We start from the raw sequence: 27,322 nt of genomic DNA on the forward strand, positions 1-27,322 counted from the left end.
TGAGGGGATAAAGTCCTATATTCCAGGCCCTGAGATACCACCCAGGTCCCCACTTCCCACAAGGACGTAGCCAACCACCTTGGTTTCCTAAGCCTGGCTTCTGTTGTAGCCAATTCCTGACTCAGTCACCTTCTCACCCCCTCAGGGGCCTGATAACTTGCTCCTCAACTAGGTAAGGCATTTTTTGGGGGGGTGGGGGGAGGGGGGCAGACATTTGGTAGTAAAAGGCGATCAGGGAGAGGAATGTCACACCAGGATACTCAAATTTCCACCGTCTTTATTTTCCTTGTGCCCAGTTGCCTGTATAAGTGCTGCAACACACACGGTGGGTAAGAACCAGAATTGAGGACAGGCCAACACTCCCAGTACAAATGGAGCCAACAGACATTTCTTAACACAGGGAGGCAAAGGAGATTCAATGGGAGGGTGCCTGGCTTTCCCAGATGAGATCCCCAGGCCGGCCAGGCCGACTGCCTCTGAGCATTTCCCTAACTCTTTCCAAATGTTGCAAGAGATTAAAAAGACCATTCTCAATACCTTTTCCACCCCCTCCAACACCCTAAAGGAAATCAACTAATGGCAAAAGAAAAAAGAAAAAGAGAAAGAAAGAAAAGAAAATTGATTATGGTTCCTTTATTTACAAGTTTTTTGAACACCATCCCTGTATGAAGCATACATTCAAATATTCTTAGCAGTGAGCGAGTTTAACCACGGAACACTGTAAACAGATAGGGCCTTTAAATATTTTCATCATCTCTTTTCCCCTCTACATTGCATCTTTTAAAATTCGCTTTGGTTCCTTCAGGGAAATATATATATATATAATATAATATTTATCTTTTAAAATAATTCCACCTCACTCTCAGGCTCTTGGAAGGTCACCAGAAGCTTCCAAGCTCAGTTCAAGAGCCAATGAGGGCTGAGTGTGGTGCTGGAACCCGGTGTTTTGGGGGACTCAAGGCCCTCATAGCCAAAGCTGGGGACCTGCTGGCCAGGCCCACTGCTCTGCAGCCAGACACTGAGCAAATCCAAGTTTCATTACGTGTGGTGGAGAGTTTGCCAAACTGCCACACTCCACAGCCATTTCCTGCAGAGATCTCAGGGGCCAGTGGCCTGGCTGCAGCCTCTTGGCTTTTCCACATCTCCCACCTCAGGGAACAGTCCACTCTGTGTCGAGGCTTTGGGCCTGAGTGGCAGGCTGGAACCAAGACCCTCATTTGGTAGAAAGAAAAGCCAGGTGGGCTGTAGGAGGCGGTGGCTAGGAACTCAGGGCTGGATCAGTGTGGTGGGTGGCTAGGAGGAGTGGAAAGACACTGATGCCACCTGGAATCATAGATTTCTTTTCCCACAAGGATTTGCAGCCCTCTTCCACCTCAAAGCTACCTCCAAGTCCAGCCGCTGTTCACATTGGCTTTGGAAAGCAGCCTCATTCTGGGCACCTAGTAATCCTACCCCTTCCTCCTGCCCCTGTCCCCAAGCTGAACTGGGCTTGGAGAGCACACAGCTTTTTTACTCAGGGGTCCTGGGGGTGGGTAGGCTCCCAGTAGAGGGAGGGTGTGGTGGGGTTAGTCTCCAGGGGGTCTGGCAGGGGCCCAATCCCCAGTGGAGACCACACCCAGCCCGCAGCTCTGCAGGCTCCAAGAGTGAACCACCAGGGGTCCCAAACCTGTCATTCTAGCTGATGCACAGCTCTCAGAATCCAATGATTATTAGGAATCTTAACCACTGAGATCTTAATCAAGAGAGTCCCAGACCACCTCCTGTGGGGCTATCTCCATGCATCCCTCTCTTGCACACCTCTTTTCAAAAGTCACCATGTGGCTTGACTTTGTCAAGGGCAAAATCTGCATATTATCTCATGTGTATGAAGCCCCCCACCCAATTCCAGCCGCTGGAGTCTTAGAGGAGTGGATTTGCTGAGTAGTACTGTAAACGGTCTCTGTTAATTTTTTTTTCCTTCATTCTCCTGTTCTGAAACCAGATTTTGACTTGACGATCAGTGAGGTTGAGCATGCGGGACAGTTGCAGGCGCTTCTCTTTGTTAATGTAGACGCTGAAGAAGAACTCCCGTTCCAGCTCTCGGATCTGGTACTTGGTATAGGGGCAGCGCTTTTTGCGGGTGCGTTGGCCACCTGTGGAGGGAGAAAAGGCATGGGGTGAGCCAGGTGTGGGGGCTGCAATCCACCCCAGAGCCCATAGCTGAGGAGAAGGGCTGCCATGGGGACTGGTGGTCCAGCCCAAGCCCCGTCAAAGTCTGCCCAGGCCCCTGCCTTTAACGCTCCGACTGCATGCTTGGAACGGCCGCAGTTGGAGGCTCAGCCACAGATAAAAGCCAGCTCCCTAAATAGGCCCCCGGGGAAGCTGCTCCCGCTGCCCCCAGAACAGAAAGGAGAGCTTCGCACAGCAACAGGCGAGTTTGCGCTGCCTAAGCCTCTTTGAAAGCAGCCAAGTGGGGGTTGCCGGCTGCCTCTCGCAGGCCAGACTAAACAAACAGCCGCCTGCGGACATTTCACCTTCCAGCACCTGGGCTGCCCCTTCCCAAGGCAGTAAAGGCGGCTCCAGTCCCAGTCTTTCCCGGCTGCGGCCAAGACTGGGCAGTCCTTAACATCTGGGGCGGCTGCCGGGTCTTTGTCAGCCTGAGTCCTGGCCACCAGCTTCTGCCTCCCCGGCCAGCCTTCCGGCTCCGCCGAGGTGGGGAGGTGGCGGCGGAAGCCCCCTACCCTAGGCCTTCGCTGAGCACCACGGCCACACGGCCATCCTGCACACGGCAGAGCAGCGGCTCTATCTTAGGTAGGGTGAAGGGAAAGGGGGCTTCCCGAAGCTGCGGGCAGGCTCTACTTGCTCCCCCTTTAAAAAAAAAAAAAAAAAAAAAAAAAAGACCCACAAGACAAAAAAAAAATCGCTTTTGACAGATTGAATAACAATTGTGAATAACATGCAGTTGGGCAGAAGGAGGCACGTAATTGCCACCACGCCAGAGGAAAATGGCTTCCTTTGGACAAAAAGGCCAACTTTGGGTTAATTTGTTCTTTTAATATATTGCTAGAGCTAAGCGGGCTACTTTATCTGTTAAACGCGCTCCTAGCGCCGTCGTTAAACAGCGACGCCTTTGAATCCCGGCCGGGACTGGAGTCCCGGCGCAACACATGGCTTTTATAAAAATCTCCGGATTACCTCGCTATCAAAAGCTCCCGAAGCCCTTGCAGGGGGAATTTACAGGCGCCCACCTCCGGCTCCCCAGCCTGGAGCTGGCCCCGAGCGGGGTCGAGCTGCTGGGCTTGGGAGCTGAGAAGGGAAAAAAGGGAAAAGGGGAGTTGTTTTTTTTTGCAGGCATGCCTTGGCCGGTGGGTATTTCACGGCCAATTTCAGCACTCGCCACGTGATCCCGCCTTTTATAACAAAGTTTTGTTGGGGGAAACCTAAAGGCCCTTCATAAACCTTATATGCTTATAAAACAGCATATAAAAATTTAACAGCGGTGCTGCGCTAGATTTCCAACTCCCCTTTCATAAAGCGCAGGGCGCTGCCTTTATACGTACTGGAGCCGCCGGCCTTGTCCTCAGTGTGGCCGGAAGACGACTCGGGGCTGCTGCTGCTCTCGGGGCGCCGCCGCCGCTCTTTCTCCTCTGCTGCCGCCGCCGTCTCCCGGCAGCCGCCGCCGCCGCCGCTGTCCGAACTTGAAGTTGCCGGCGCGCCCGTTGCAGCCGCCGCCGCCGCCGCGGAGGTCGCCGTGGCCGCCGGGGGCCCCTTCTCGGCGCTCTTGTCCCCGGGGTAGTCGGAGGAGGCGAGGTTTTCCGGGGTGCCGTAGGCTGTCTCGAAAAACTGGTCGAAAGCCTGTGGCAGGACGCCGTTCCTGCCCACGGTGCTATAGAAATTGGACGAGACTGCGGGGGTGGGGTGGTGGTAGACGTTGGCCGAGCTCTTGGCCAGCACGTCGCCAGGCACGCCGGCCGCGCTGGGCGCCTGCAGGCAGTCTCTGTGCACGAGCTCCTCCGCGGAGTAGCAGTGGGCCAGATTGCCGCGGGGGTGCCATTTAGTGGCGGGCTCAATGGCGTACTCTCTGAAGGTCACTTCGCGCACGGGTTGGACCTGGGGCAGGTTGGAGGAGTAGGAGTATGTCATTGGGCGCGAAGACGGGGTCTGGGGCAGAAAAGAAGGGAGGCTGGAGAAATCTGGACCCGAGACGTAGTAAGTACAACTTGGCAAATACATGTTAGAGGAGCAGGGACCACGCTCATCAAAATCCATTATTGGGCTACCTTGGGCTCTCCGCAGTAGCCGAGCTTAACATGATTCTCCACTGCAGCTGCCTCTTTGAAGCGGATCCGTGAAGTAGAAATTTGGAGACGTAAGCTGACGTGGAAATCTATCCCCATCCTTAGCAGGGAGGTGCTGGTCATGTGACCCGATGTTGAAATTGACAAGCTGCTAGCTAGTCCGGGCCTTTTCCCCCCCCCTTTCCTTTTTTTTTTTTCCTCCTCTCCCCTCCCTCCCGGCTTCCTTTCTTTGTAGCCACCTCAGGGGAAGCAACAGATCGTCACTCGGTGTTCTCACCGAAAGCACGTAATCGCCGGTGTAACTCATGTTGGCTGGGGGGCCTCCCGGCGCGCGCGGAGAGGCTGGGGTGCGCCCCCATGCAGCATGCTTGTGCTCAATTGCAGGGTCCTCGTTCTCGAGTGTGCAGAGGGCGGTGAGAGCTCAACTCTCGTCCCCACCTCCCACCCGCAGCTCCCCGGGTGGGTGAGGGATGCCCTGGACTGGGGATAGCCAGGTGGGAGTCCGTCGCTGTGTGGCCTGTGGTCTCGGAGTCTGTTCTCCTGGAGTCTCGCATTTGCACCCCCTTCTTCGCAGTCCCCCTCCCATAGACTTGCTCTGGGAAGCGCCTCTGCCTCCGACCCTAGCCGGAACCCCTTCGGGGCCAGAGTTTGAAGCCGTGGATGTGCCTGCCTGGTGGCTTGTCCGATTTGCACGGTGACTTGATTACACTCTCTCATTCATGGTCACTTCCGAAGCGCTTTAGTGCCTTCCGTCCCTAAACCGCCAACAGCCAGAACGGCTTCTCCCCGCGGTTTGTCACTGATCCGCAGGGCCCGGAAGGGCCTTCGTCTTACCCGGGATCCACCTCTCCCCTCATCTTCCCTGCCTACCTCTTCATCCCACCTTCTGTCCTTGGAGAAACTCCCTCCTCCTCGCTGCCTGCCGGGCTTCGGAGTGACTCGGCAGAGACAGAGGCACAGGGGCTGCCCTGCTGCTCACCGGTCCACCCATCTGCCTGGTCTTCTGGAGCTGAGGACTCGGGAAACCATGCAATTGAGGCAAGCCTTGGGCTGCTTTAGAGGCGCTGACATCCGAGGAGACTTCTCCTGGGTATGCTGCATCTTCGTGGGGGGCCCATCAGGCTGCTTACAGAGCTCCAGGGGTGTGGGGAGAATGGAGGTGGAAAGGACGGGCTGAGGGCCAAGGAGAGGTGGCTGAGAAAGGGGTAACCCACCTACTCTCCTACTCTCCTTCCTTGCAATGTGTGAGAGTGAAAGCAAGGGATGTGCAGGGCAAAAACTCAGAGAGCTCTGTGCCTTTCCTACTGCTCATTCCACAGGAGGAATACAATACCAGAGAAAGGAGAGGTGCTTCCCGAACTCCCTGCACCTGGGGAAACAGGGATGTCTTTAAAAAGCTAGGTTTGTGCTAAGGATAGAGAGAGGCCATAGCAATACTCTGAGTCTAGCTTTCTTGAGAAGAGGAAAAAAAATAAATTAAGAAGGCAAAATATGCTCCCCATCCTGCAGGATTGAAGGAGCAATGTTTGGAGGAAGCGAAAGAAAGGAGAGGACACAGAGCACAGAGCAGCCAGGCAGAGCCAGGAGCTGAGAAGGGCCCAGACCTGAGGCCTCCCAACAACTCTCTTCTTGGAAGGATCTGGGATGTTGCTGAAGGAAAATAAAAAAATATGTAAAAAGATAACCTTTTGTTTTTCCCTCTCCAGGAAATAGCCAAAGTTATTTACATATCTTGGGGAGATTTAGAGTATAAACTCTAAGATCTTTGGTATTTAAGTGTCAACATCGATTTATTTATTTATTGCTGAGCTGACTGTAACTGACTCAATAACAAATCTAATCGTGTATTGCACTGGAAAAGAAATATTCTTATTATGTATTTTCTCCAAATAATGGCCTACCATTGCATTTGAATACCTGCTGTAAATATCAATAATATGAAGTAATTACTCTGTAGTCGAGTAAACTAATTTATTAGCATTAATGTTTATGTGGCTCTCCACCTCCCCCCACCACCACCTTTACAAGGATTGCTTATCACAAATCAAGCTACTTGGACACATTGGTTTAATGAACTCTTTATTCAAGATTTGCTACAAGAATTTTCATGTCCTTTGAATCCCTGAGAACTGAACTTGAAATTATTTGTGCATCTTCAGCTTGACATATTTGTCCACTGTGGCTTGTCCAGAGGGCAGCAGTGCTGTGAGTGAGAAGGTCCAGTGGGAAGGAAGGTTATTGGAGAAGAGTAGCCTCAGACCTCCTAAAGCTGGGAAGCACATTTACAGAATTGCCCTGCAGCGAAAAAACTTCTATTTCCAGCAGTGACCAACAAGGCAAAATGTTTGTTTCTCCACAGCATCTCTTTTTTAGAGACAGAATATAAAAGACAGAAGGAGAGGTTTCAAACAGCGGTATTCGAGCTGTTCCCTGGCTTGATTTTGGCTATCCCAAGCTCTCTCTCTGCAGCCCACCCAGTCCACGCCACCCCTACCTTCGAACAAAAGGAATGCATGAAGGGTTTCAGTGACTTTGCCATAACAAAGGCGCCACCATTGCGGGGCTCGCCCCGCCCCTGGGTGAAGGCAAACAAATTCTTGCACTTGTATTAGGGCTTTTAAGACCATAATTGAACCCGGGGGCGTCTAGGAAAACCGAAAACAGTTCTAGACAGACCTGCGGTTTTATAGCAGTTTTGGCAGTCAACTTCAGCTTGTGCCTGAGCAGACGGGGTTGTGGTGGCCCGCCAGCGGGGGATGCCAGGCCACCTCCCCCAGCGGCACGCAGCCCCTCTCTTAATTAGATCGGTTTTCCCCTGGTGTCCGGGAGAGCGGTCCCGGCAGAAAGGTCGGTATGGGGGTGTGCGCTGTTCCGCATAACCACTGCCTCCCATGTCCTCCTCGAGGGCCGAACCGAGAGGGTGCTGGCAGGGCTGGATCCCACGGGTGTCCGCAGGAGACAAAGGCGAATTCCGGAGAAAAGGCTGGGGCTGAGAAAGGCGCTCCGGGAGCGGCTGGCAGGGCAATTCGGCAGGCTGCACCGAAGCCGAGTGCCCGGAGGGACTTGCCGCCCGGAAGGGGGTGTGTGGGGGCGCTGCCGTGAAGATGGATGAGGGAAAAGGTTTTTGATATCAGCAGAAGGGAAAACGCCTGGAGTGGCCGAACACTTTTAGTTGCCCAGCAGGAATAGGAGACGGGTACTCAGCTCCCCAAGGCTGCGCAATATCCCAGCTTTGCCCGCTCCTGCCCTCGTGTTCGGAATATGCTGGCGGTGTGAATGTGAAGGTTTCTCCAGGCAGGCGGCTGGGGCGAGGGGTGGGCGCAGCTCTGAGGATCAGACCAAATCTAGGGGAAAAAGGGGAGGCAGACCTTCGGGTCCTTGGTTTTGACTTTGCTCTGAGCCTATGATTGACTCTTCCGCTTTGCAGGAGGTCCAACAGCCGAGCTTAGCCCACCGGGCTCTGGGAAAGACCCGACTGAGGCTAAAGCCGCCCCGGAAGGCCAAGTCCGAGTTCCATTTCTTGAAGAGGCCGGCGCGCGTAAGGCTGTGACATTGGCCCTGGCGACTGGCTTCCCAGGAGCTGTTCTTTCTCAGGAGCTCCACAGCGCGGGCCATCTCCAGAAAACTGTCTTCAGAGTGTATTTCCTTTTATCGTCAACCCAGAGCCCCACCGCGGCTAATGCAAGAGGCCAAAAAATGTTTGGAGGAAGAAAAACAAAGGCAGGAAGTGGCGGCGGCCTGACGGTGCGTGTGTGTCTGCAGAGAAGGGAGGGAGCCGGCTCAGTCTCTTCTTGTTTTTCCAAACTTCAAGGTCCAGGCAGCCCTCTGCAGGGCCGGGCCCCATTGCTCCCCGCGCGGCATTGGAGGTGGCCGCCCGGAGAGGAGAAGGCCAACGCCTGCGCCAGGCTTGTCAGGCGGAAACGGCTAACAAGGAGATTTGGTCAGCAAAACAGACCCAGCCTTTCCGAGGCTTCGTCTGACTTGGCCCGAAAGGTTGGGGAGGGGGGGCTTGCGCAGAGCCTCAGGGACCCTCCTCTCTGGGGACTACCATCCCTGAGCCTTACGCTTCTTTCCACAGCCTTTGCAGGCGGAATATCGGAATAAAGTGGGTCCAGGCGCCTCTGCCGCCTCCGCTTCTTCTTGCAGCCTGAATGGTCCGGGAGGCAGCGGGAGGGCGCCGGCGGGCAGTGCCCAGGCGGGGTCGCCTCGAGGCCGTCGGTGAGCACCGGGCAATGCGAGGCCTTGTTACCGAGGTTGTTGTGCTGGGGGCGTTTCCAGCACAGTCATTCAAGGGACGTGAGCTGCAAGGATCGTCACTTGACAGGCGGCTTAACACCCTCTCACTCCAAGGGAGGATACAGCTGGGTGGCCGGGAGCACCTCCACACTCCAGGCTTCCCAGCTCCAACTGGCAAAGCTGCTGGGCCACCCTCTTCTCTCCCTGGGGCTGGCTTGGGAGGCAGCAGCTGCTCCTTGTCCCAGAAATCTGAGAATTCGAAGTCCCCAGTACTTGCACATGCAGCCCTTTAAATGCCCAGCATTTGTCCACAGTCTCAATGTCAATGCCAAGCTGCCCCAGTCACCACTGTCCTTCTCAAGGGGGTCCTGTCCCTCTACAGTTCCTGATCCTGCTCCTGTCCCCCCTACAGTTCCTGTCTCCTGCCCTGCCTCCTTCCAGCCATTCTCACCTGCTGGGACCTCCTGTCTCTTCCCTACCTCTTTTGATGCCTCTGCTAGACTGAGCAACAGCTGAGGTGCCACTGGAGGGCATCCAATACTCAGGCGCAGAGAAGAGGGGCTGTTAGGTCCCTGACTCTCCCCCAACTTCGGGCTTCCACCAGAGCCTGAACTGAGTCTCCCACCTCCTTCTTAGGAATACTCCACCTCAAGGCCCCACCAAGTCTGGCTTATCTCCCTTCCTCTCCCCTCCCTTCTCTACCCTCCTTTCTTCCCCAACACTTCCTCCTTCTCTTCTGCGGACCCAGCTGCTGCTTTTCTAGGCTGGGCAACCCAGATGGGATAGGCCTGGGAGGGGTCAGGACCCACTTGACAGACTGAATCTCACTCCCAGATGGCTACAGTTAAGTTTCTCTCTTGGTGGATTGCTTAGGGCACCATCATTATTTTGCCTCCTCCTGCTTGCCTAATCCCTTACTTTCCTCTGTCCACAAATGTCACACTGTTTCTAGAAAGCTACACAGAAGAGTATTTCAACCCTGGTGACCATACTGCACACAGGTGCAAGAACTGGCCCGGAGGCCCCGGGTAGAAATGGCAACAGAGCTCTTCTCCATTACAGGAATATCTCCTTCCAAATCAAAGGGTTCCTGTGGGCACATCTGTCTTATGTGGTGAGCTAGGGGAGATGGGTTGTCTGGGAAGGCCCAGGAGATCTCCACGTATTTGTTCTCAGGGCATGGCTTATTGCCAGATCATAGACAATCCATCACATTTTCCAGGCGCTGCCCAGAGGCAGCACTGAAGCTTCAATTAAAAAATCAAGAGATCACCTCTATCACTACCAGGTGGAGGCAGGGGTTAATTTGTCCCTTTGTTGAGACACCTCACCCTCCCCGAAGGTCCCCAACACTTCCTAAAAGCTCAGAAACAGGTAATGCCCTGAAGTGGACCTCATAATTCTGCTTGGTCTGACTGGCAGTTTCAGTCATCCTTCAAAGCCCCTAAATATCTGAAAAGGCCCATACCCTTCCCCTGGCCACTGCAGAGTGGGGCACAGGGCTCAGCTGAGGGTCTCAAGTACCTAAGCAATCTAGTTATCATTTACTTTAGTGGATCCCAAACTGAAGGGAGAAGAGAAGATTACTTCCTTTAATAACTATTTTTATTTTTATTGTTGCCAATTATTAGACTTCTTTTTCCTATAGCATGGGAACAAATGGGGTGGGGGAGACTTTGAAGGGCGAAGCCCTAGTTCTCAGTGTCTGCCTTCCATTCCCCATGCAGCTTTGGCCCAAACAGGTTTCCCAGCAGAGTGTGTCTGAGATAAAGAAGACAAAAGGGGGTGGCCCAACCCGAAGGTTGGCTCTGGTCCTTGGGTCTCGGTCTCTACAGCCGTAGCTCACAGGAAGCCCCCACGCCACAAAGCTCCAACTGCTTCCTAGGGCAGCTCCATTTCCACTCAGTGCTCATGTTGGCTCACATTCCAGGCTTGAGAAGAGCCATCACCCCATCCAGCCCTCCTCCCCTACACACCCTTCCAGGCAGTTCTGCGATGGGACCCATTCACAGATCATTGTTTCTGCTATATATGCCCCCACAGCCCAGCCCAGCCCATCCACGCAGCCCTAGGGGTACAATCCAGATTTTTGGCTTCCGCGAAAAGAAATCCTTTGCATGTCCTCTTTGGTTCACCTGGAGAGATAGGCTCAGCGGCAGATCACGCTTAAGCTAACGTTTACCGCAGGGCCTGATGCTCTGATCTGCTGGAGGCAGGCTATAGGCAGGGGGTAAGGGGCTCTCTCCCTCGCAGAGCGCAGTGAAGGATTCTTGGGGGCTGGGAGTCAGGAGTTTTTACCTTGGAAGAGTGCGCCTCACATCTGTGTGGATTTTAGGCAGGAGAAGAGCATCAAGGGTCTCACCAAAGGCTTGCCACTCACTGAGGGAGAGGCCTGGATTCTGGGACCCCAGGAGAGTCTCTCCAGCAGGGTCTTGGCTCCCCTATCCTCTTCCCTGCCAAGTCGGCCCTATGTTCCTACCAGGACCCAGAACTCCGATCCAGCCACGTCCTTTCCCCTGGGCTTGCAGGCGCTCCCTCTCGCCCCCGCTAGGCCTTAGCGGGCTCCGAAGTCTGCTGGACTGGGGCAAACCCCGCTCTTCTGGGACGGGGACACGGCCTGGGCCACCCGTGGCTGCCGGGACTCCTTTCCAACAGGGCTGGGGATGGGAGAGTTGGAAATCAAGAAAGAACCTCTGCCTCCAGTGCACGAGCCCAGAGCCCAGGCTACCAGAACCCGCTTGCAGCAAGGTAACTGTGCGTCCTGTGCCTTCTTGAGGCGGCGGCAGCGATCGGCCCTGACCATAGAGGCGGCCGTGGCGCGGAGGACTTGACCTTTACGGCACGAGAGGAGGGCGCTGGCTGAGCCGCAGGGAGGGGGACGCTGCTCTCTCCAGCCTCCTCCACCCAATAGCAGTCCGCTCGACCCACGCCAGCTGCGCGCTCACCCCCTTTCCCCCTCCATTTTGTGCAGTGTCCGCAGACCCGCGGCCGGAAACAAAGCCCCCAGCCCTGCTCTCACCACCCTTCTTGCAAGCTGCTGTCGCCAACCCCCCAGACCAGAGGCTCAGAGCTAACGCTAAGCCCCTTAAGGCCCTCTCCAGGGCCCTCTTCTCTCGCCAGCCGCCCTCAGCCAGCTCCTGACCCCAGCCGCCCTCAGCCAGCTCCTGGGTACCACTCTGGGTGCCAACCGGGACCTGCCGGTGCCACGGTCCCGTGCGCCGGGTCCCGGCCTCGGGCTGCGGGCGGCTTCGGGGCCTACAGCCCAGCGGCGCGGAGCGTGGCAGAGGCGCGGGGCGCAGCGCAGCCCGAGGCTGCCTCCCGCCCGGGCGGACGGCGCGGCCGCTGGGGTGCACAGCGTAGCCCCGCGTGCCCGGCTCGCTCTCCGTTCCCTCGGATAGCTCCCACCGCTCGGCTCCGGGCTCAGAAAGCGGAAGTATTTGGTAGAGAAAAACACGGTTTCTTTTCAGCTCGTCTCAAAATCCCTTTTAGAGAAAATGCTCCTGTCAAGTTTTATTTCCCGTTGCAAACCACCTTCCACGCTGCCAAGAATTAAGACCGGGAGAGATTAAATACCCGATTATTCTCCTGGGGAGGGCGGGGCGGGGCCGGGAAGTGGGCACCCACACCAAACATTCCTTGAAGTAGGCTTGTCCTGATCCAGCCGCGCCCGGGGAGCCCCACGAAGGCCCGCGCGGCCTGCGGTGACGTCAGCCTGCAGTTGCGGGGCCACTCACCCGCACAGACACGGCCCTTGCTGTTCCGCGCCGGGACCTCCGCCAGCCGTCCTGCCGCAGCCCCGACTGGCCCGCGTGCCGTCAGAGGGAGGCCCGCTTTACACCGGCCTGAGCCTCCATTTTGAGTAGGGGGTTCTTGTAGAAGCGTGGAGGGTTTGGGGCCGCGCCTCTGTCCCCGAGGGGCGCGACATCAGGTAGCTCTCCGAGTTCACACCCCAGTACCTGGGGGAGGACCTATGTCGCCGCATAACCGCCCGCAGAGGTTTGGAAATCTCTGAGACCCGTTGTAATTATTTCTGCCCAGTGGATCCGGCTCTTCAGCGTCACGAGAGCCGGGCAGAAATGAAATCAACTGTGGCAAGGCCTTGGCTGCTTTCACGGAGGAGTTTTTCTGCGCCAGTGTCTTTTTCCTTCCCTTTAAAATAAAATTAAAAATAGCAAGCACTTCTCAGGCATTCATCAGAGATAGATAGATGCACGAGGATTGAGTGGGCATTTTCATAAAGAATGAGGCCGGCTGTTATAGACCGGCGGCCTAGCAGATGAAAACTTAATTAGCGTGCCTGTCCTAAAACCTAGGCATAAATCTCCCTCTGCCTTTTGGATAACGCTATATCTTTGCTTATGAGAAATGGGATGTGAGCAACTCGCTGCACATTTCTCTGATTCTCCAGGTCTTGGTCGGCTGACACGCATTCGATCAAGTTTAAAGGAATGCGCATAAATCAGCAAGCCCCTAGCGTCTCCTTGGGAGAGGTCCGCAAATCCAGGAGGGCGCCTCTGAACCCACCGGGTCTGGGGATTAGCAGTCCAGGGCAACCTCCGTCTCTGCTCCTGAACTCGGGAATTCACAGAGGAAGCAAGACACTGCATCTTCACCAAGGCCTCCAAACACATGCAGCAGAGTGCAATCTGCACTTACATGTATTACAAAGTGAAATCTGTGTCAACTCTCCGCACACAAATGTTGCATCTGCAGCTGAATTTCACTGCCTAGTGGTGAATTTTTAAGAAAAGATTTCAACTAGGTTGTTTTAATTTTTTTCTTCCCTTTTCTGTTAATTTTTTTTAAAAACCCACAACTTGAATAACTTGAATGGGTGGCTTCAGCTCTGCATCAGTCACAAATAGGAGTGAAATGCATAGCGACATTTAACAATCATCCACTTAAAATAAGTAAATAAATATGATAGTACTGAGAGCAGATAGAAAAAGTAGCGTTTTTTTTTAAAGTCCCATTTTTATTTTCTTAATTCAGGAAGAGTTTTCTTTTTAGAAAAAAATACTTTAATCAGGCTTTCAACAACATTATCCATGGGTCAGTGGCTGATACTATTATTCCTATTTTTCAGGAGGTGGCTGGTCTCTCCTTGATTTTTGTTTTTGTTTTTGTTTTTGTTTTAAGGTTTTAGACTGATTGCTATTTGGGCATTAAAGGAGCCATAATAAATAATCCATGCCCACTTTAGGTTATCTGGTAGATCCACAGAAATTTTAAATAGGAGGAGAGTTAGGTAAGATCGACACTATCAATGACCATTTTAGAACTGGGGGGAAAAAATCCCCACAACAACCCTGAAATGTCTTCTGTCATTACAGTTTCAAAAACTAGAGAGAGAAAAAAAGAAGGCTACTACTTTACCCAGGGTTCCTGTAGTGGTGATGGCTTTCGAAAGGGGCGGGATCCCGGCTGGAGAGCTGCTGTTGGCCTCCTTCCTAGGCTCGAGGCTCAGAATATTTCTTACATCTAAAGAAAAATATCCCCTGTCAACAGAAGAGTCCCTTTTGGAGCTGTTCTTAAACACACAGTTTGATCCAGCTTTGAGGGGATTTTCCACCACTTTAAACATTTTGGGAGAAAGTTGTTACTTTGGCTTGATGGCAGCTCATTTGGAAATGGAGTACTGTTTGGAACAAGAGGTGGAGAGGTGGGTCTGAAGCAACATTATCATTTGTTTCCACAAGTGGAGTGAAAATCCTCAGGGCAGCAAAATATAATTGAATTTCTCGAGACCTTTCGATATGTATGTTTCAACACCAGCCTGTTTTTGAGACAGCTTTAGAGACTCTTTCGTAATTCTCATCTATAAAGAAGTTGTGAGTCCTCAGGAGAGGTTGGAGAGGTTTCCGGCAGCCACTTTTGTAACCAATCAATATTATTTTCCATAAAATGATGAATCTGGTTCTTCCATTCACTATTACTTTCCTCTAACGTAAAGATAAAATTAGCCTGCATCTCACAATTCTGCATCCCACGGCTACTGATTCCACCAACATTTTAATACATATGCGCATAGCATAGATTTGACAAAAACACATTATCCTATGTGTATATTAAATATACAAACATACATATGTATTCTTTATGACTCTGAATACAGCACCTGATTGTTGTTAGAGGTCAACAGTAGATATAATATTATTATTATAGTTTTGATGGAAGTTGTTAATATTAAACATATTTATTTATCCTACAAATCAAATGGCAGATTCACAAGCATCAATATAAGATTGCACACCACCCTGGAGCAGTACTCAGCTCTGAGTTATCCAGGATAACTCTCGTTCTGTATCCAATCCTGTGGTCATTTTGTAGATATGAAATATTAAGTCCTCTTTACTGACCTCTCAAGAGGTGGGTTTCTTAGACTTTCTGAAACATAACTCTAGAACTCTAGACTTAGCAAGGCATCTGAATCTTAATTTGCTGTAAAGACTCCTCAATAGCTCTAATTACAGTGTGAGACCACCCTGGAGGGTGAGGACCAGGAAGGAATGGTGATTTAAGAACACATCTTAGACTGTAACAAAAATGTACAGCTTTAAAGCAGATCTGCAGAAATCTGATGCAGAGCAAGCCACTGTGAAGACAAATCAAATTTGGCCATTAGAGAAAAGGAACAAGGCTTCATCTTGTAAAGTACATTTTGTACCTCAATTCTAGAAATCACCTTAAATTACAATATCTTGCGTCATTAGCAATTAATGATATGATATCTGTACAGATTCTACAAATATATATACAAGCACACACAAGCACTAATATGCAAATGTATACATGTGTACACATATTATATATATTTACATATATACAGGGACATGTATAATTTACATATATTCAAATTTGCTCCAGCTGGAGCCAAATAATTGAGTACTGAATCTCTAAAGTCAAGGAGGTAAGAGCTCTTGATTCCCTTGGTTGAAGAATTACAAGGAGGCTTGTCAACGCGAGGTGGCGCCCTTGATCTACTAATCCAGCTAAGGCCAATTCATGAGCTGTCAAAAGTCAAGGTCACAAATTGTCTTTTTTTTCGTCAAGGTCAAGGTTTAAGGCCTTTCGTAGTCCTGTCATTTCAACAAATATCAAAACCTGCCCTCTCAGACACATGCAGACCCAACAGCAGATTTTAAAATACGACAGCCTAGGCATTGCTGCTACAAAACAACTGGTTTTCATTTTCCACAGGGAGCCTGGGAATTCATACTATCTCTTCCTCCTTTCTTTTCTCTCCCTTTTGTAATACCTGACACTTTAATCTCCTTGAAGCACTTATCATTTTTTAGGATTTTAGTTATGAGGGATTTCTCCCTTTTCTTAAAAATTTGGTAGCAAAAGAAGTACTGAATAATAATAAAGAATGGTCCTTGGTTTATATAAGATAAACCTGCTCCTTTTCTTTCTGTGCAGTGCACATTTAGCATAGGAAAGTAAAGAGTATTTTCTGCAGATTTTAATGGCAGTGACTATTTTATTAACAATTAATATTACGATATCACTATCTACAGGTCTAAGGGTTTTTTTTTTTCATTTTTAGTAGAAATATTTAAAAAGCAGGTGCACAAATACATTTTCACAGTGTGCTGAATGTCTTTATTTACAAGATATCATTCTATAGTGAATATGAACAAAACGAATGTGCTGGTTGAAATAACTGCTTGATTAAAAATGTGCTGTGAAGATGAATCACTAATCTTTCTAATGCACTCTGATAACACAATAAACATGGAAAAATACTAATCCCTTAATAGATCAAAATATAGAATATAGACACCTAAATATTTCAGGGGAATGAATTTTCATTCTGAGTTTTCTAAAAAAGAAAAAAGAAAAATGATTTCTCCAGCAAATGTTTAGCAAATATTGGGAAATGCCAATTCAAATGAAAAAACGAATTGTGTTCAAACCAAAGTCCATCATGTTGGGATGGAAACTCTCGGGAGATCTCACATAAAGTGAATTCTGTGGATCATCTGATGATGTAAACATTTTCAAAAAGATACAAAATCCTTTGGAAAATAACGGATATTGGAGCAGTAAATATAGTTCAAATGCCACAAAATATGCTTGTTATAAGCAATTAAAAATTATTCTTAAAAAGACATTACCGACCCGGGTTCTCTTGTAGCCTGAAAGGTTCAGCTGGTTGGTTTTACTATACTACCAAGACAAATGATCCTCAGAAGAGTTTTCTCTCCCTTTCTCCCTTCACAGCAAATATTCCAAGATCATTATTTCAGTACCTTCTCGTTTCCCCTCTAAATCTATACATAAAATGTTTTGCAGAACGTACAACAACGGTAGGAATTTCACTAAGATTTACCTGAGCAGACGCTTAACATGCAAAGGGAATGGCGACCTAAGAAGGACAAGCAGATGTTTACAATGGCCTCTTGCGTTTGTAACCAACTTCCAGATTATTACCATCTAACGCAGTGTCCTAAAATGTAACGATCACTTAAATACTTACAAGATTTCAGTAACTGCGTAACTTATCTGAAATTGCGTATTTTGGGGGTTGACGTTTGACATTTAACGGGCTGGGCTGATGGGGTTGGCGGAAGAACTGGCAGTCTTTACCTTTCTTAAAGTTTTAAAACAGTTGTAGATTCCATTAAAGAGAAAGAGATCTCCTTCGGGAGAGGAAAATGCCAGTCTCTGTCTCTTTCTCTTTCCCATTCTTCAATTATTATTAAGCATTATTATCATTATCTGGGCAAAGCAACGAGTTCTGAAGCGTTTCTTCAAGTTGCCTTCTTGCTCTATTTTTAATCCATTAACTAGTGGTTTTCAGTTTGTTGATGACTTTTTTCTCTTTAACCCTCCTGTTCTGGAACCAGATTGTGACCTGCCGCTCAGAGAGATTCGTCGTGGCTGATATCCGCCTCCGTTTGTCCTTAGTAATGAATTTATTCGTGGCGTATTCCCGTTCAAGTTCTTTTAATTGCACCTTGGTATAAGGCACGCGCTTCTTTCTCCCCCTCCTATAGGAGCTGGCATCCGAGGGATGGGAGACCACGTCTAGAAGACAAGGGAGAAGGCAAGTTACACAGGGATCGGACCCCAGCCAGGGCATAGGCGACAGCTCGATCTGAGCCACCCGCCTTGCAGCGCCCGGCTGCTCTTTGCCACCCGCTGTACAATCCTGTCTTCTGCTAAAGCCTAGAGGGTCAGTGGGGAAGGTAGTTAGTTCTGAACTGAAATGAAATCACCCAGGGCTCCAGTGACTTCCCCAACCCGGCCATCCTGCAGGAGCAGCGCGTAGGCAGCCTCGAGTGATAGCCTGGTCCAACGGCCCACACCTTAGCGCCAGGCTCAAGGTACAACACTTCTGTGCCTGCCTCCTTTCTGGGTGCCCGTCCCAATACTCGAAGCTTCTACACTGAAGCCATTTTTGAGAGAATGAATAGGGAGGGGCAATTTGGGGAGCTGTTTTCTGGTCAATTTCTCATCCTTAAATTGGTGTCAGGGGCTGGGGAGGGCGGGGCGCAGAGGGAGAGGGAAGCTAGCCGAGGTCTCCACAAGCCACCCCTCACCCAGGGAGAGCCAGGGACCAGCTCAACTCGAGGCAGTGCAGGCAGACCCAGCCAGCCATGCTCGGGCTCCCAGGGGTGCAGAGCCGCTAGGGCAGACCAGGAAGAGAACAGAAACGCACCCGGGATCGCCCGGGTGCGAGCGGAGAAGAAGCTGGAGCAGAGCCGGAAGACCAGGGCTGGGAATAGGTCGTCATTTACCGGGCAGAGTGGACTTCCAGAGGTGGGGAGGCTGCGCCTGCTCTTTGGGGCAGTACATTTGGCCGTTCCAGCCGTTGGGCAGCGCCCAGGGCTGGTAGCTTTCCATGGGAAGACCCAAGGGTTCGTGGCGCGACTCGCCGGGGCCCCCGAGGCCCGGCACCACTGGCATATCCAGGTAGCCAGGCATGGGCTGATGGTGGTGGTAAGGCCCGGCTGCGTAGCCCTGGTGGTAGAAGGCGAACTCCTTAGCGCGGGAGCTGAACTCCTCGGCAGCTGGGCCGGCGGTATCCATGTACTTGTCCGCGAAGGCGGCGGCGGCGGCGGCCGAGGCGGGCTGCGCGCACGACTTGATGGCGTTGGGGTGCGGGCCCATGCGGGCGCACGGGTAGTAGCCGCTGCCGAAGTAGCCATAGGGCAGCGCCGCGGGCCCCGACGAGCTCTGCGCCGCTGCCGAGCAGGGGCTGCATTGCTTGGCGGCCTCTGCGCCCGCCGGGCCCGCCGGGCCGGGACCTCCCGAGGACGACGCGGCGGCGGCGGCGGCGGCTGCAGCGGCAGCCGCGGCAGCAGCGGCGGCAGCCGACGGGGGCGCCTCCCCGGGGGCGCTGCTGTAGGCGGACGCGGCTCCTGGCGCCAAGGGCGCCGGGTGCGCCATCAGGTTGCGGCACTGGTTGGCCGCGGCCGCCGCCGCAGCCGCGGCCGCCGCCGCCACCGAGAAGTTGCCCCCTGCCGCCGCAGCCGCCGGGTGGGGGAAGCCCCCGCCCCCGGCCCCGGCAGCCGCCGCCGCTGCAGCCGCTGCTGCAGCCGCCGCCGCCCCTTCCATGTTCTTGTTGAGCTCGTCGGCCACCAGGCCGCCGCCGTTGTCGTAGAGAAACATGACGGTGGGCTCGATCCAGCGGGGGTGGAGGAGCACGGAGGCTGTCATAGCCCGAGCCGCATGGAGAAGACCCCAGTGGCGCTGTTTTAAAAAGCCCCCAAGAAGTGAAGAGCGCGCGGCGCGGGGCCGGGGCCCGAGCGAGGGGGGCGGATCGCGCCCCGCGGGGTCGCGCCAGGCGGCCGCCCATTGGCCCGGCCCCCCCGCTCCGCCCACGGCGTATGCAAAGCGGGCGGCTCCGACTCCAGCTCTGCACGGTGCACCCGTCGTCCCCGCCGCGGCCCGCGCCGTCCCCAGCGCCAGCCGCGCGGCCGCGCACCATTCACCCGGGGGAGAGGCGGAGGAACGTGCGGGTGGGGCAGGGAAGGAAGGCGGCCCCATCTCCGCCCCCCTTCCCTTCCTTTATCCCAGTGGGGCCCAGACCCGCGCAACCAGGCGGGGAGGGGAGGTGGGCGCGCGATTGGGTTGCGATCTGGAGCAGTGGGGACAGGTCAGGTAATTCTGCCGGCGGTCAGGGATGGGAGAGTGGGGAGGACGGGACCAGCCTAGCTCAGAATGGGTGTTTCTTGGAGCCTCTGGGACTGTTTTCTTTCCAGGAACCGGCGCGTATTTCTGCAGTGAGACCACAGGACGGACATCGGCGCCTTCGGCTTCGATGGAGTTGCGATTTTGCTCTTTCCAGGGAAACAGTGGCAGGGTGTTTGCTGCTTATCGGTTCCTGCGGATATGCCTGGGTCCCAGGACATTCCACTGGAGGCTTGGACTGCATTTAGGAGCCCCTATCCCTTCCCTGTCCACACTGTTAGTGAGCAATTTCATATGTTTGCATTTAGACCCATAGACTCAGAACGACTCATCACACACACACACAGTGTACACTGACACACTCACATTCGCACACTTAGGTATACAGCCTGATCCTTGCTCTGACCTGGTAACAACGCTTCCTCCTCCAGAGACTTTGAGATAGAGCGAGCGATCCCTGTGCACCATTCATCCATGCTCCCACCTCGCCAGTATGGCTGGCTTAGTTCTGGAAGGGGCTTAAGAGGAACAAGCCCCAGCTGTGCTTCTGGCTGGGACTTAAACCCCCCTTCTGGGCCCTAAAGCCACGCTTCTTTGTGGACCGGACCTGACTCTCCAGGAATCTGGGAACCCGCTATTTCACTCTATTTTGGGACAAGAAAAAGGGGCTCTTTGGGGCCACTTCCTGCCTTCCCCTCAAGTAGGATCTCCAGCCTGCAGAGGGTGCCTAGTCCTTCTTTGCCCAAGAACCAGTCCAAGAAGCCTTTCCTCTGTGCCTGGGAAATGCAACCTTTTCTTGGGAGCATGGTAGGGTGTTGGTGCTGAAGAACCAAGCAGCGACCCGTCTTGTAGCTGCCATGTTTTGTCGAGGGGTTCTGGGGGTCCTGCTGCTTTAGAGCCACATACTTCCACTTCCTGATTCACTACTGTGAGCTGGTCAGATGCCTAGAAGAGGAACAAGCGTTCAAAGTGAAAGTGGGCACATTACCGGAATAGTGCTGGGGAGAGTGCTGGATTCTTTTCCACCCCAGGCGGACTGGTGAGAAGCCAGGCTTGGACCTGTCCTCTGCTCCTAGCTTGCACACTCAGCCCTAAACTCAGAGCAGCACGCATACCACCCCTCACACACACCCCACCATCTGCTGTCTAAGGCCCCTGGGCTTCCTGCAGGATCCAGACCAATGTGGCTGGGCTTGGGCTTTTATCTGTCCTGATCCTGGATTTGTCCTGACCAATGTAAGTGTCGCCCAATAAAACCTTCTATGACCCCCACACCAGCCACCCCCCCACCAAGTGTGCCCTTTCCTTCTTGACTTTTTAGCAGTTCTGGGTAAATATTGATTTGCCCCCAGTTTACCTTCTCCCTGACTGGCCATTTGCAGACTCAGGAACTAGCCTCTGTAGGGACTTGATTTTTCTGTTACTTTCTGGCCGTTTCACCACCCCCCTTCCTCCCTCCAAGTGGCATTGTAAAACTCACAGTGACAAAGAGACAGAGTAGGGTTCTAGGCCCCTGTTCCTGGGGACTTGAAGGCGGTTTTACATACTGGTCAGACACGGCTGGAGGCCAAGGTCAAGTTGAAAGTTGCAGTCCAGCCAGCATGAGAACTGCCATGCGAGCGTAGAGACACAGGCAGCAGCAAAAGGCCCATTGCCCACATCCCCTCACTCTTAATTTTCTCTCTCTTTTTAAAATTCTCGCCTCTGACTCTGTTCGGCTGCCCAGAATTTTTTGGTGCCTTCGTGGGGTTTTTGGGGCGGTGTTTACCGACTCTTCTCTGCCTCCGCCCTGCTCAGCCAGGGCTTTGAGCCTCTTCGGTTTTCCGGCCAGACCCGGAAAAACGAAAACACAGCTTGGGGAGCCCCCACTAGCCGGCGCCTGTGCCAGCTCACCTCTGGCCATGGCGCAGCTGCCGGTGCACACGGCGGCCAAGGCCAGCTCCACATTCTTCCCTCCCCCTCCCACTTCACCGTAGCCCCGAACCCTGCGCGCAGAGAAAGGGTCTCAGCTCCACAGACGACTGGGTCCCTCCTCACCAAAAATGGTGAGACAAGATTTCATCTGTCGGCCGAGGAGCCACAAGCAGGTTTGTCTGAGAGGGATGGTGCTGGGGGAAGGCTTTGGATTGCATCTCAAATTAAGCTTTGCTCCTTAAATGTGGCGCTCTCGCCAAGAAAAAGCTTGGGGACTGAATTCTTGAGATTTATGGTGCACCTTATTGATCAAATTTATCTGGACTTTTTTTAGTTCCCCGATGTGTCCCTATCATTAAAAAAAAAAAAAAAAAAAAAAAACCCCTCTCAAGACATGCTTATTTAGAGGAAGGCACCCTGCTTGTTCTCTTCTTGTCTTGGATCTCAACATGTATCTTATTTTTCTACCAGACATGTCCATGGCGTCCTGGCATGCCCCACTGTTTTCAAATGTCTGCATGTCCTGTCAGTATTGAGTTGTAGCCACCAATCAGTGGAGGTCGTTTATAGAAGGAGAACGAGCTCTGAATAATTTGGGTCTGAGTTTCAGAATTTCTACTCACTTTTAAGCAAGAATAATCTTCCTTCCCTGTCTTCTGCTAAGGGAGATAAGATATTTATTAATGTTTCCCAATATGATTTCTTTCCCTGCCAGGCAGCCAACAAACTGACTTGCTGTGGCAAAAGAAAGTTTGGAGGACGATTGAGACGGGTGTGCTCTGGGAAGCAAGCACAGACCCTCCTAGCATTTTTCCTCTTTTCCCAACGGCAAGGTCAAGATTTGCTTGCCTGCCAAGGTAGTGGGTCCTGATCTTCTGAGCTGTCTGTCCCTCTGATTTTTTGTTCTCCAGGCTCAGGAATTCCTATAGGATTGCAGAGGCACCTTCAACCTGATAATTTTATATTCTCAGGCTCCTCCTGGGTTAGACTGGGGAAGCCAGGGCACCCACTAGGATCGGCCGGCAGCGGTGGCACCTTAGGCATGACAGCCAAGCAGAGGGCTGCATGAGTAGAGGTGGGAGAGGTGGGAGAGGCTGCAGTCACTTCCCAGGTACTGTCTGGTGCACTGATTTCCCCGGAGGAGCCCTGAGAGGGCAGTGCAGGCAGGACCGGAGGGTAGTTTCTGCAGCACGGCCTTTATTTCAGGAATCACCAGAGCCTTTCTCAGTGTTCCAAAATGCCTTGGCTGACAAGGCTTCTTACTTCCTGGGGTAGGCCAGGGTGCCCTGCAGGGACTGGTTGCCCAAAAACCTCTCACTGAAGAAAAAAACCGCAGCTAGGTTTTTCTGGGTGGGGAACTGGATGCCAGCCTGGTCCACGCGGCTCTGGGCTCCCAGCATTGGAGAAGAAAAGGAAAAAGGGAAACCAGGTTTTAATCGAGCTTGATTTTCATTAGCAAATGAAATTTACCTGCTCTCACTTTAACTCTGAGGAGGCTGTCAGCACTGCTCCCTGGCACTATTTCTTTGCATCCATCCAGCACTAGGATAAACATTCCTTGGTTGATTCTAAAGACACTTTGTATTTCAGGATATTCATGTGCTTTTAATGTATCCAAGCAGCTTTACAAGCCACTTTTGCAGAACATCTTAACCCTCTCTCTCCCACCCTAGGTGGGCTGGGGCACAGAGATAATGGCAAAGGAAGAAAGATCCAGAGGAAAAACTGGTTGAGGGGCTGAGGAGAGAGAAAGAGAAAAGACGAAATCGTCAAACAGTGTAGCACCTCTGAAGCCAAACTTGAGCAGATCATTTGGGAAAGGAGCAAGTGGGGGACTGCTCTGCTTATGGAGGGAATTTTGAGTGTCCCCATCAGGTAGAAGCTGTACCCTCTTTCTTAAGGGGAAAGGGTTGGTAGGTCCTGAGATCTGGGCTGAAGTTGGCCAGCGGACAGGGAAATGGTGCATCGAGTCACTCACTCAACCTTTTGTTCCAGATTTTTGTGCATTTGAAACAATAATAAGGCAGTAAAAGGCTTGAGGCTGTGGGATAGTTTTGGGCTATTGTCACTGTGGTGACCAAATGTTAACATGGTGAAAGTGGAAGTGCAAGGTCCAGGAAGATCTACAGGGACCCCCACTTTGCCTTTAAGATCCCTTCATGGGGTGGATCTCAAGGACAGCAGGTTTTTGGAGGAGCAGCTCTCCTGCTGCCTGTAGAGTTTTTTGTTTTGTTTTGTTTTTTCAGGTACCACAAAGCCACTAGTGCACAGGGACTCAGAAAAGACGGCAGGAGCCCAAGGAAAACTCCAATTTGAGTACAGCCCTGCCTTGTTTCCCCCAGAGAGTCCCTGAGCAAGGAGACCTCCACCCCACACACACCATTTCAGAACAACCAGGTTCCAGACTCCCATGAGGAGCATCTCCCACTGCAGAGCCTTGGCCAGCCGCGCCCGGACTCCTCAGAGCTGGCGCAAACTCCGTCCTCCAAAACTCGGCTCTGGGAGGCCTAAGTGACTCCGAAGCCGGCGGCAGCCGCGGCAGCGGCCGTGGTGGTGGAAGAGCTCTTTTCCCCGACAGTGCCACTGATCGCTCTTCACTGGAGCTGGAAACAGCCTTCGCGGAAAGGACCGGAGCATGCGTTAGAAGCAGAGGGAGCTTGGTGAAGGGCTCGGCTGGAAGGAGGAAACGCCTTCTCGCAGTGCGCGGCCAGCCCGCGGGGGACACCGGCTTGCTGGACTGCAGGGGCCCGTGCCACCCAGGAAGTGACCTGCGGGTCACTCAGCCGGGGCGCTGGGCGAGCGCGGGACGGCCCGGAGAATTCCGTGCGGCTGCGACGGGAAAAGGACGAGGGGTCTCTGTACCCGACGCTGCCACTGGCCCAAAGGAATTTTACCCGCGAGCGCCCACCCCACCCTAGCTTGATGCTTACGCCCGCAACAAAACAGGAAACCAGGACTGGGCAGTGCATTCTTTAAGTCAACAAATACACTGAAGACTTCGAGCGTTTGAAGGAAGGAGGGGGTTTGCACGTAAGCCTGGCCCCGCCGGGCTCGGCTTTCTCGCTGAGAAAGCGGCGCAGGCAGCCAGGCGGCCTGGGCCCGCGGGGGTCCATCTCGCCCTAGACTCCTAAGAACTCCCACGGCCCTGTTCCCAGCTGCGAATTCTTAATGCACAACGCGACGGAGGGAAGGAAATTCACCAGCGCAGCGACGAGGAAGGGGAACTCAGGACCCCTTCAAGTACACACTGAGGTGTGATCAGAGTTTTATGGGCACTTTATATGCTGTAATCATAACGATGTGTGTGCCTTGATATGCACGCATATTCACGCATCAAACGTGCATACACACACAGAGTGAATGTGCGCATCCAATGTCATGTGGGTGAAATACAAGCATCATACCCAGCCCTACGAAAAAAAAATTCACCCTGTCGGACCAGGCTGGTGACATACTTCGCTGGCGCATCTCCTTACTCACTCTTACTTTTCCGACCCCTCACCATTCCCTCTCCTGTGGCTTGGTAAATACACCTGCCCTCCGTGGAAGGTGAGTCCTGGACTGGCGTTGCCAGGTTCGCATGTCCTCCCCAGAACCTCCGTCTGGCTCCAGGGACTCTCACTGAGCGGGTCTAGAGCACCCAGCACTTTTCAAGGAACAGCCGCGGTTCCTTTGTCCCGCGGCTCCAGCCCCGTTCGGCCCAGCTCTCAGGGAAACGAAGCGCTCAGTAAGAACTTTTGATATTAGTTTGTATGGGTATTTACACTCTGGTGAGGGGAGCTGAGTACGGAAGTTCCATTAATCATACTCCAACCTTGGGTTTAGATATTCAGTTTATGGGTTGGGAGAGGGAGTTTGCCGGAAAGAAAGCATCAAGGTTGGCCGCTGACTCCAGAGAAATGAAAAGGGAGCAAGGTCGTTTTCTGTTTCTGGAAATCAAGAATTAGGAATGGGCAACTACAGGTGCTAACCAACAGACCACTTTTTTGTTTTTTGGTAGCCCTTTGGCAGGGATAGTTTTTCCACCTTTGCCCGATACAATTTAAAAAAAAAAATCCTTTTATTATGGAATTTGTCAAACACACACACAAGCATAACAAACCCCTAGGTACCCATCTCCAAGTTTTGACCCCTATTATAATTTCATCTTCAGTGTTTTATTATCCACTTCCTCTCTCTCTATCTTTAGTATTTTAAAGTAAATCCCAGATAGCATCACATCATTTCACCCCCACCATAGGATTTCAAAGATCTGTTATATTTCAAGATTGAGTAAAAGGGCTTGAAATTGGGTTATTGCAATGAAACTCTAGAAAAAGCTTGAGGGTTCACCCAGGAGTAAGCTGGACAAAAAAGGGGTTTGAGGGGTGGACCCATCTTGCCTAAAAATCTTGTCTCATCTTTCTAAAAATTACATATGAAAGAGGAAGATTTATGTTACTTTTTTATATGAGAGAATCGTCCTTTAATAGAAAATTTCTATTGCTGCATCAGAATTATGGAGGAACACAAAAAACATACCTCAGTCCTTAGTGTGTCCTAAATTAACACATATTCACTTATTAGTGGGTAAATGACTATATTTCATTTCAGCACAACTTCTCCCCTGGTAGAAACACAAAAGAAATTTCTAATGATTAAACTAGGAAAGTTTGCACTGAATTGATGGCTTATCAGAGCAACCGCAGTTTTCAGGAAGAAATTCAATGCCATGCGTTGAAAATATCCCCCTAGCAATAAGGGATTATTTTTAAAAAAGAATGAATAAAGATGTTCTGGTTTCTTTTGTTTTAATCTGGTAGTCTCATTTACAACGAGCATGATTCTCCCTGTCGAACTCTGAAAGTGACTTAACTGAAAGGCTTGGCAACTTCAGAAAGCAAAAAGGTAAAAACAGAAAATAGCACACGGTTGAATTTGACAACTTTTACACTACCCGGCTGCTTAATAAATTCTAACCCCACTTGTCTGAGTGGATACTGATCATCTTTTCTATGGCAGTATTTTGTATTTGGGTTGTTTATGGTTTCTTAATTAATTTTTTTGAGTAGTGATTAAATATCTGGGATGCTTTTACACTAAGCATATAAATTCTCATGGTATTAGAAAAGAGCTATTTGATGAAACTCATAAGGGGTATGTAAATTAAAAAAGAGAAGAAAGTGTGTGTACATATTTTACAATAATCTCGAACGACTCCAACTATATGTTGCAGAAGCCATGAGCTCTCTGCCCACTGTCTGTGGGGTATCAGCAAGATTGACTCCTACCAAGCCTTGGGCACAGTGGTGGGTTTAAGGGTCCCATGTCTCCAGATCCTAAGATGGAGTTCACCGCAGGGGTGAGGGCTCGGGTCAGGGTAAGGGTGGGGACTGCAGAAGTCAAACAATTCGGAGGAAGAGGGAGAGGGGAAGAGAGAAGCCACAGACAAGCCAGGAGACAAAGAGGAAGGGAGAGATGGGAGGGAGAAGAATAAGAAGCAATGAAACTGTAATTCTCCACAAAAATTTAAGCTACAGCAGCTCAAAGAAGGCCTGTTTTTAAAGCTTAGCAGAAGCCCATTCTCCGCTGAAGCCTGTTCTTTGTGGAAGCCTGGCTGGGGGGCAGTGGGGGCGGTGCCACTGTCGAGTGTTCCTTGCCATTTAGGTCCAAAGCCTCCCTGTGATTTCTGTAACTGCACAAAAACAATCTGGGCTTTAAGAACCTGATTATTGTCCAGAGTTAAATGCAGGCTCGACCTTCTGCCCATAGAG

General features: G+C 51.7%; 2 protein-coding genes and 2 long non-coding RNA genes across 4 annotated transcripts, besides 10 other annotated features; 2 read left to right on the forward strand and 2 right to left on the reverse strand.

The window, feature by feature from the left end:
• HOXA11 (homeobox A11) lies at positions 261-4,336 on the reverse strand. The gene is made up of 2 exons (NM_005523.6): positions 3,540-4,336; positions 261-2,132 (listed from the first exon to the last, which is right to left on the reverse strand). The coding sequence occupies exons 1-2, from the start codon at positions 4,246-4,248 to the stop codon at positions 1,900-1,902; spliced, it is 942 nt and encodes a 313-aa protein (NP_005514.1). The 5' UTR covers positions 4,249-4,336; the 3' UTR covers positions 261-1,899.
• Positions 1,935-2,817: an enhancer, noted in NCBI's record as "H3K4me1 hESC enhancer chr7:27222450-27223332 (GRCh37/hg19 assembly coordinates)". NCBI's record gives its function as "activates a minimal SCP1, AML or CMV promoter by ChIP-STARR-seq in primed H9 embryonic stem cells {active_cell/tissue: H9 hESC(primed)}" and the evidence as "EXISTENCE:reporter gene assay evidence [ECO:0000049][PMID:30033119]".
• Positions 2,133-4,322: a mitotic recombination region, noted in NCBI's record as "NUP98-HOXA11 recombination region recombines with the NUP98 intron 12 (HOXA11 intron) recombination sub-region within the nucleoporin 98kDa recombination region". NCBI's record gives the evidence for it as "EXISTENCE:nucleotide sequencing assay evidence [ECO:0000219][PMID:11830496, PMID:19338047]" and "EXISTENCE:Southern hybridization evidence [ECO:0000078][PMID:11830496, PMID:11841413]".
• Positions 2,818-3,699: an enhancer, noted in NCBI's record as "H3K27ac-H3K4me1 hESC enhancer chr7:27223333-27224214 (GRCh37/hg19 assembly coordinates)". NCBI's record gives its function as "activates a minimal SCP1, AML or CMV promoter by ChIP-STARR-seq in primed H9 embryonic stem cells {active_cell/tissue: H9 hESC(primed)}" and the evidence as "EXISTENCE:reporter gene assay evidence [ECO:0000049][PMID:30033119]".
• Positions 4,512-8,397, forward strand: HOXA11-AS (HOXA11 antisense RNA). Its single transcript, NR_002795.2, has 2 exons — positions 4,512-5,367; positions 7,705-8,397. It is a non-coding gene; the product is annotated as an HOXA11 antisense RNA (long non-coding RNA).
• Positions 4,582-5,463: an enhancer, noted in NCBI's record as "H3K4me1 hESC enhancer chr7:27225097-27225978 (GRCh37/hg19 assembly coordinates)". NCBI's record gives its function as "activates a minimal SCP1, AML or CMV promoter by ChIP-STARR-seq in primed H9 embryonic stem cells {active_cell/tissue: H9 hESC(primed)}" and the evidence as "EXISTENCE:reporter gene assay evidence [ECO:0000049][PMID:30033119]".
• Positions 11,234-11,791: an enhancer, noted in NCBI's record as "H3K27ac-H3K4me1 hESC enhancer chr7:27231749-27232306 (GRCh37/hg19 assembly coordinates)". NCBI's record gives its function as "activates a minimal SCP1, AML or CMV promoter by ChIP-STARR-seq in primed H9 embryonic stem cells {active_cell/tissue: H9 hESC(primed)}" and the evidence as "EXISTENCE:reporter gene assay evidence [ECO:0000049][PMID:30033119]".
• Positions 11,792-12,349: an enhancer, noted in NCBI's record as "H3K27ac-H3K4me1 hESC enhancer chr7:27232307-27232864 (GRCh37/hg19 assembly coordinates)". NCBI's record gives its function as "activates a minimal SCP1, AML or CMV promoter by ChIP-STARR-seq in naive H9 embryonic stem cells {active_cell/tissue: H9 hESC(naive)}" and the evidence as "EXISTENCE:reporter gene assay evidence [ECO:0000049][PMID:30033119]".
• On the reverse strand, positions 13,468-19,195 carry HOXA13 (homeobox A13). The gene is made up of 2 exons (NM_000522.5): positions 18,260-19,195; positions 13,468-17,546 (listed from the first exon to the last, which is right to left on the reverse strand). Exons 1-2 carry the CDS (start codon positions 19,179-19,181, stop codon positions 17,302-17,304), a joined length of 1,167 nt encoding a protein of 388 aa, NP_000513.2. The 5' UTR covers positions 19,182-19,195; the 3' UTR covers positions 13,468-17,301.
• Positions 17,547-21,847: a mitotic recombination region, noted in NCBI's record as "NUP98-HOXA13 recombination region recombines with sequences near or within NUP98 intron 12 of the nucleoporin 98kDa recombination region, but the exact location has not been determined". NCBI's record gives the evidence for it as "EXISTENCE:nucleotide sequencing assay evidence [ECO:0000219][PMID:11830496]" and "EXISTENCE:Southern hybridization evidence [ECO:0000078][PMID:11830496]".
• Positions 19,525-26,363, forward strand: HOTTIP (HOXA distal transcript antisense RNA). Its single transcript, NR_037843.3, has 3 exons — positions 19,525-19,625; positions 19,727-21,742; positions 23,816-26,363. It is a non-coding gene; the product is annotated as an HOXA distal transcript antisense RNA (long non-coding RNA).
• Positions 21,542-22,066: an enhancer, noted in NCBI's record as "H3K4me1 hESC enhancer chr7:27242057-27242581 (GRCh37/hg19 assembly coordinates)". NCBI's record gives its function as "activates a minimal SCP1, AML or CMV promoter by ChIP-STARR-seq in naive H9 embryonic stem cells {active_cell/tissue: H9 hESC(naive)}" and the evidence as "EXISTENCE:reporter gene assay evidence [ECO:0000049][PMID:30033119]".
• Positions 23,561-24,285: an enhancer, noted in NCBI's record as "H3K27ac-H3K4me1 hESC enhancer chr7:27244076-27244800 (GRCh37/hg19 assembly coordinates)". NCBI's record gives its function as "activates a minimal SCP1, AML or CMV promoter by ChIP-STARR-seq in naive H9 embryonic stem cells {active_cell/tissue: H9 hESC(naive)}" and the evidence as "EXISTENCE:reporter gene assay evidence [ECO:0000049][PMID:30033119]".
• Positions 24,286-25,008: an enhancer, noted in NCBI's record as "H3K27ac-H3K4me1 hESC enhancer chr7:27244801-27245523 (GRCh37/hg19 assembly coordinates)". NCBI's record gives its function as "activates a minimal SCP1, AML or CMV promoter by ChIP-STARR-seq in naive H9 embryonic stem cells {active_cell/tissue: H9 hESC(naive)}" and the evidence as "EXISTENCE:reporter gene assay evidence [ECO:0000049][PMID:30033119]".
• Positions 26,364-27,322: the final 959 nt, after the last annotated feature.

The sequence above is a fragment of the Homo sapiens genome, chromosome 7 (genome assembly GCF_000001405.40).
Source record: "Homo sapiens chromosome 7, GRCh38.p14 Primary Assembly".
NCBI lineage: Eukaryota > Metazoa > Chordata > Mammalia > Primates > Hominidae > Homo > Homo sapiens.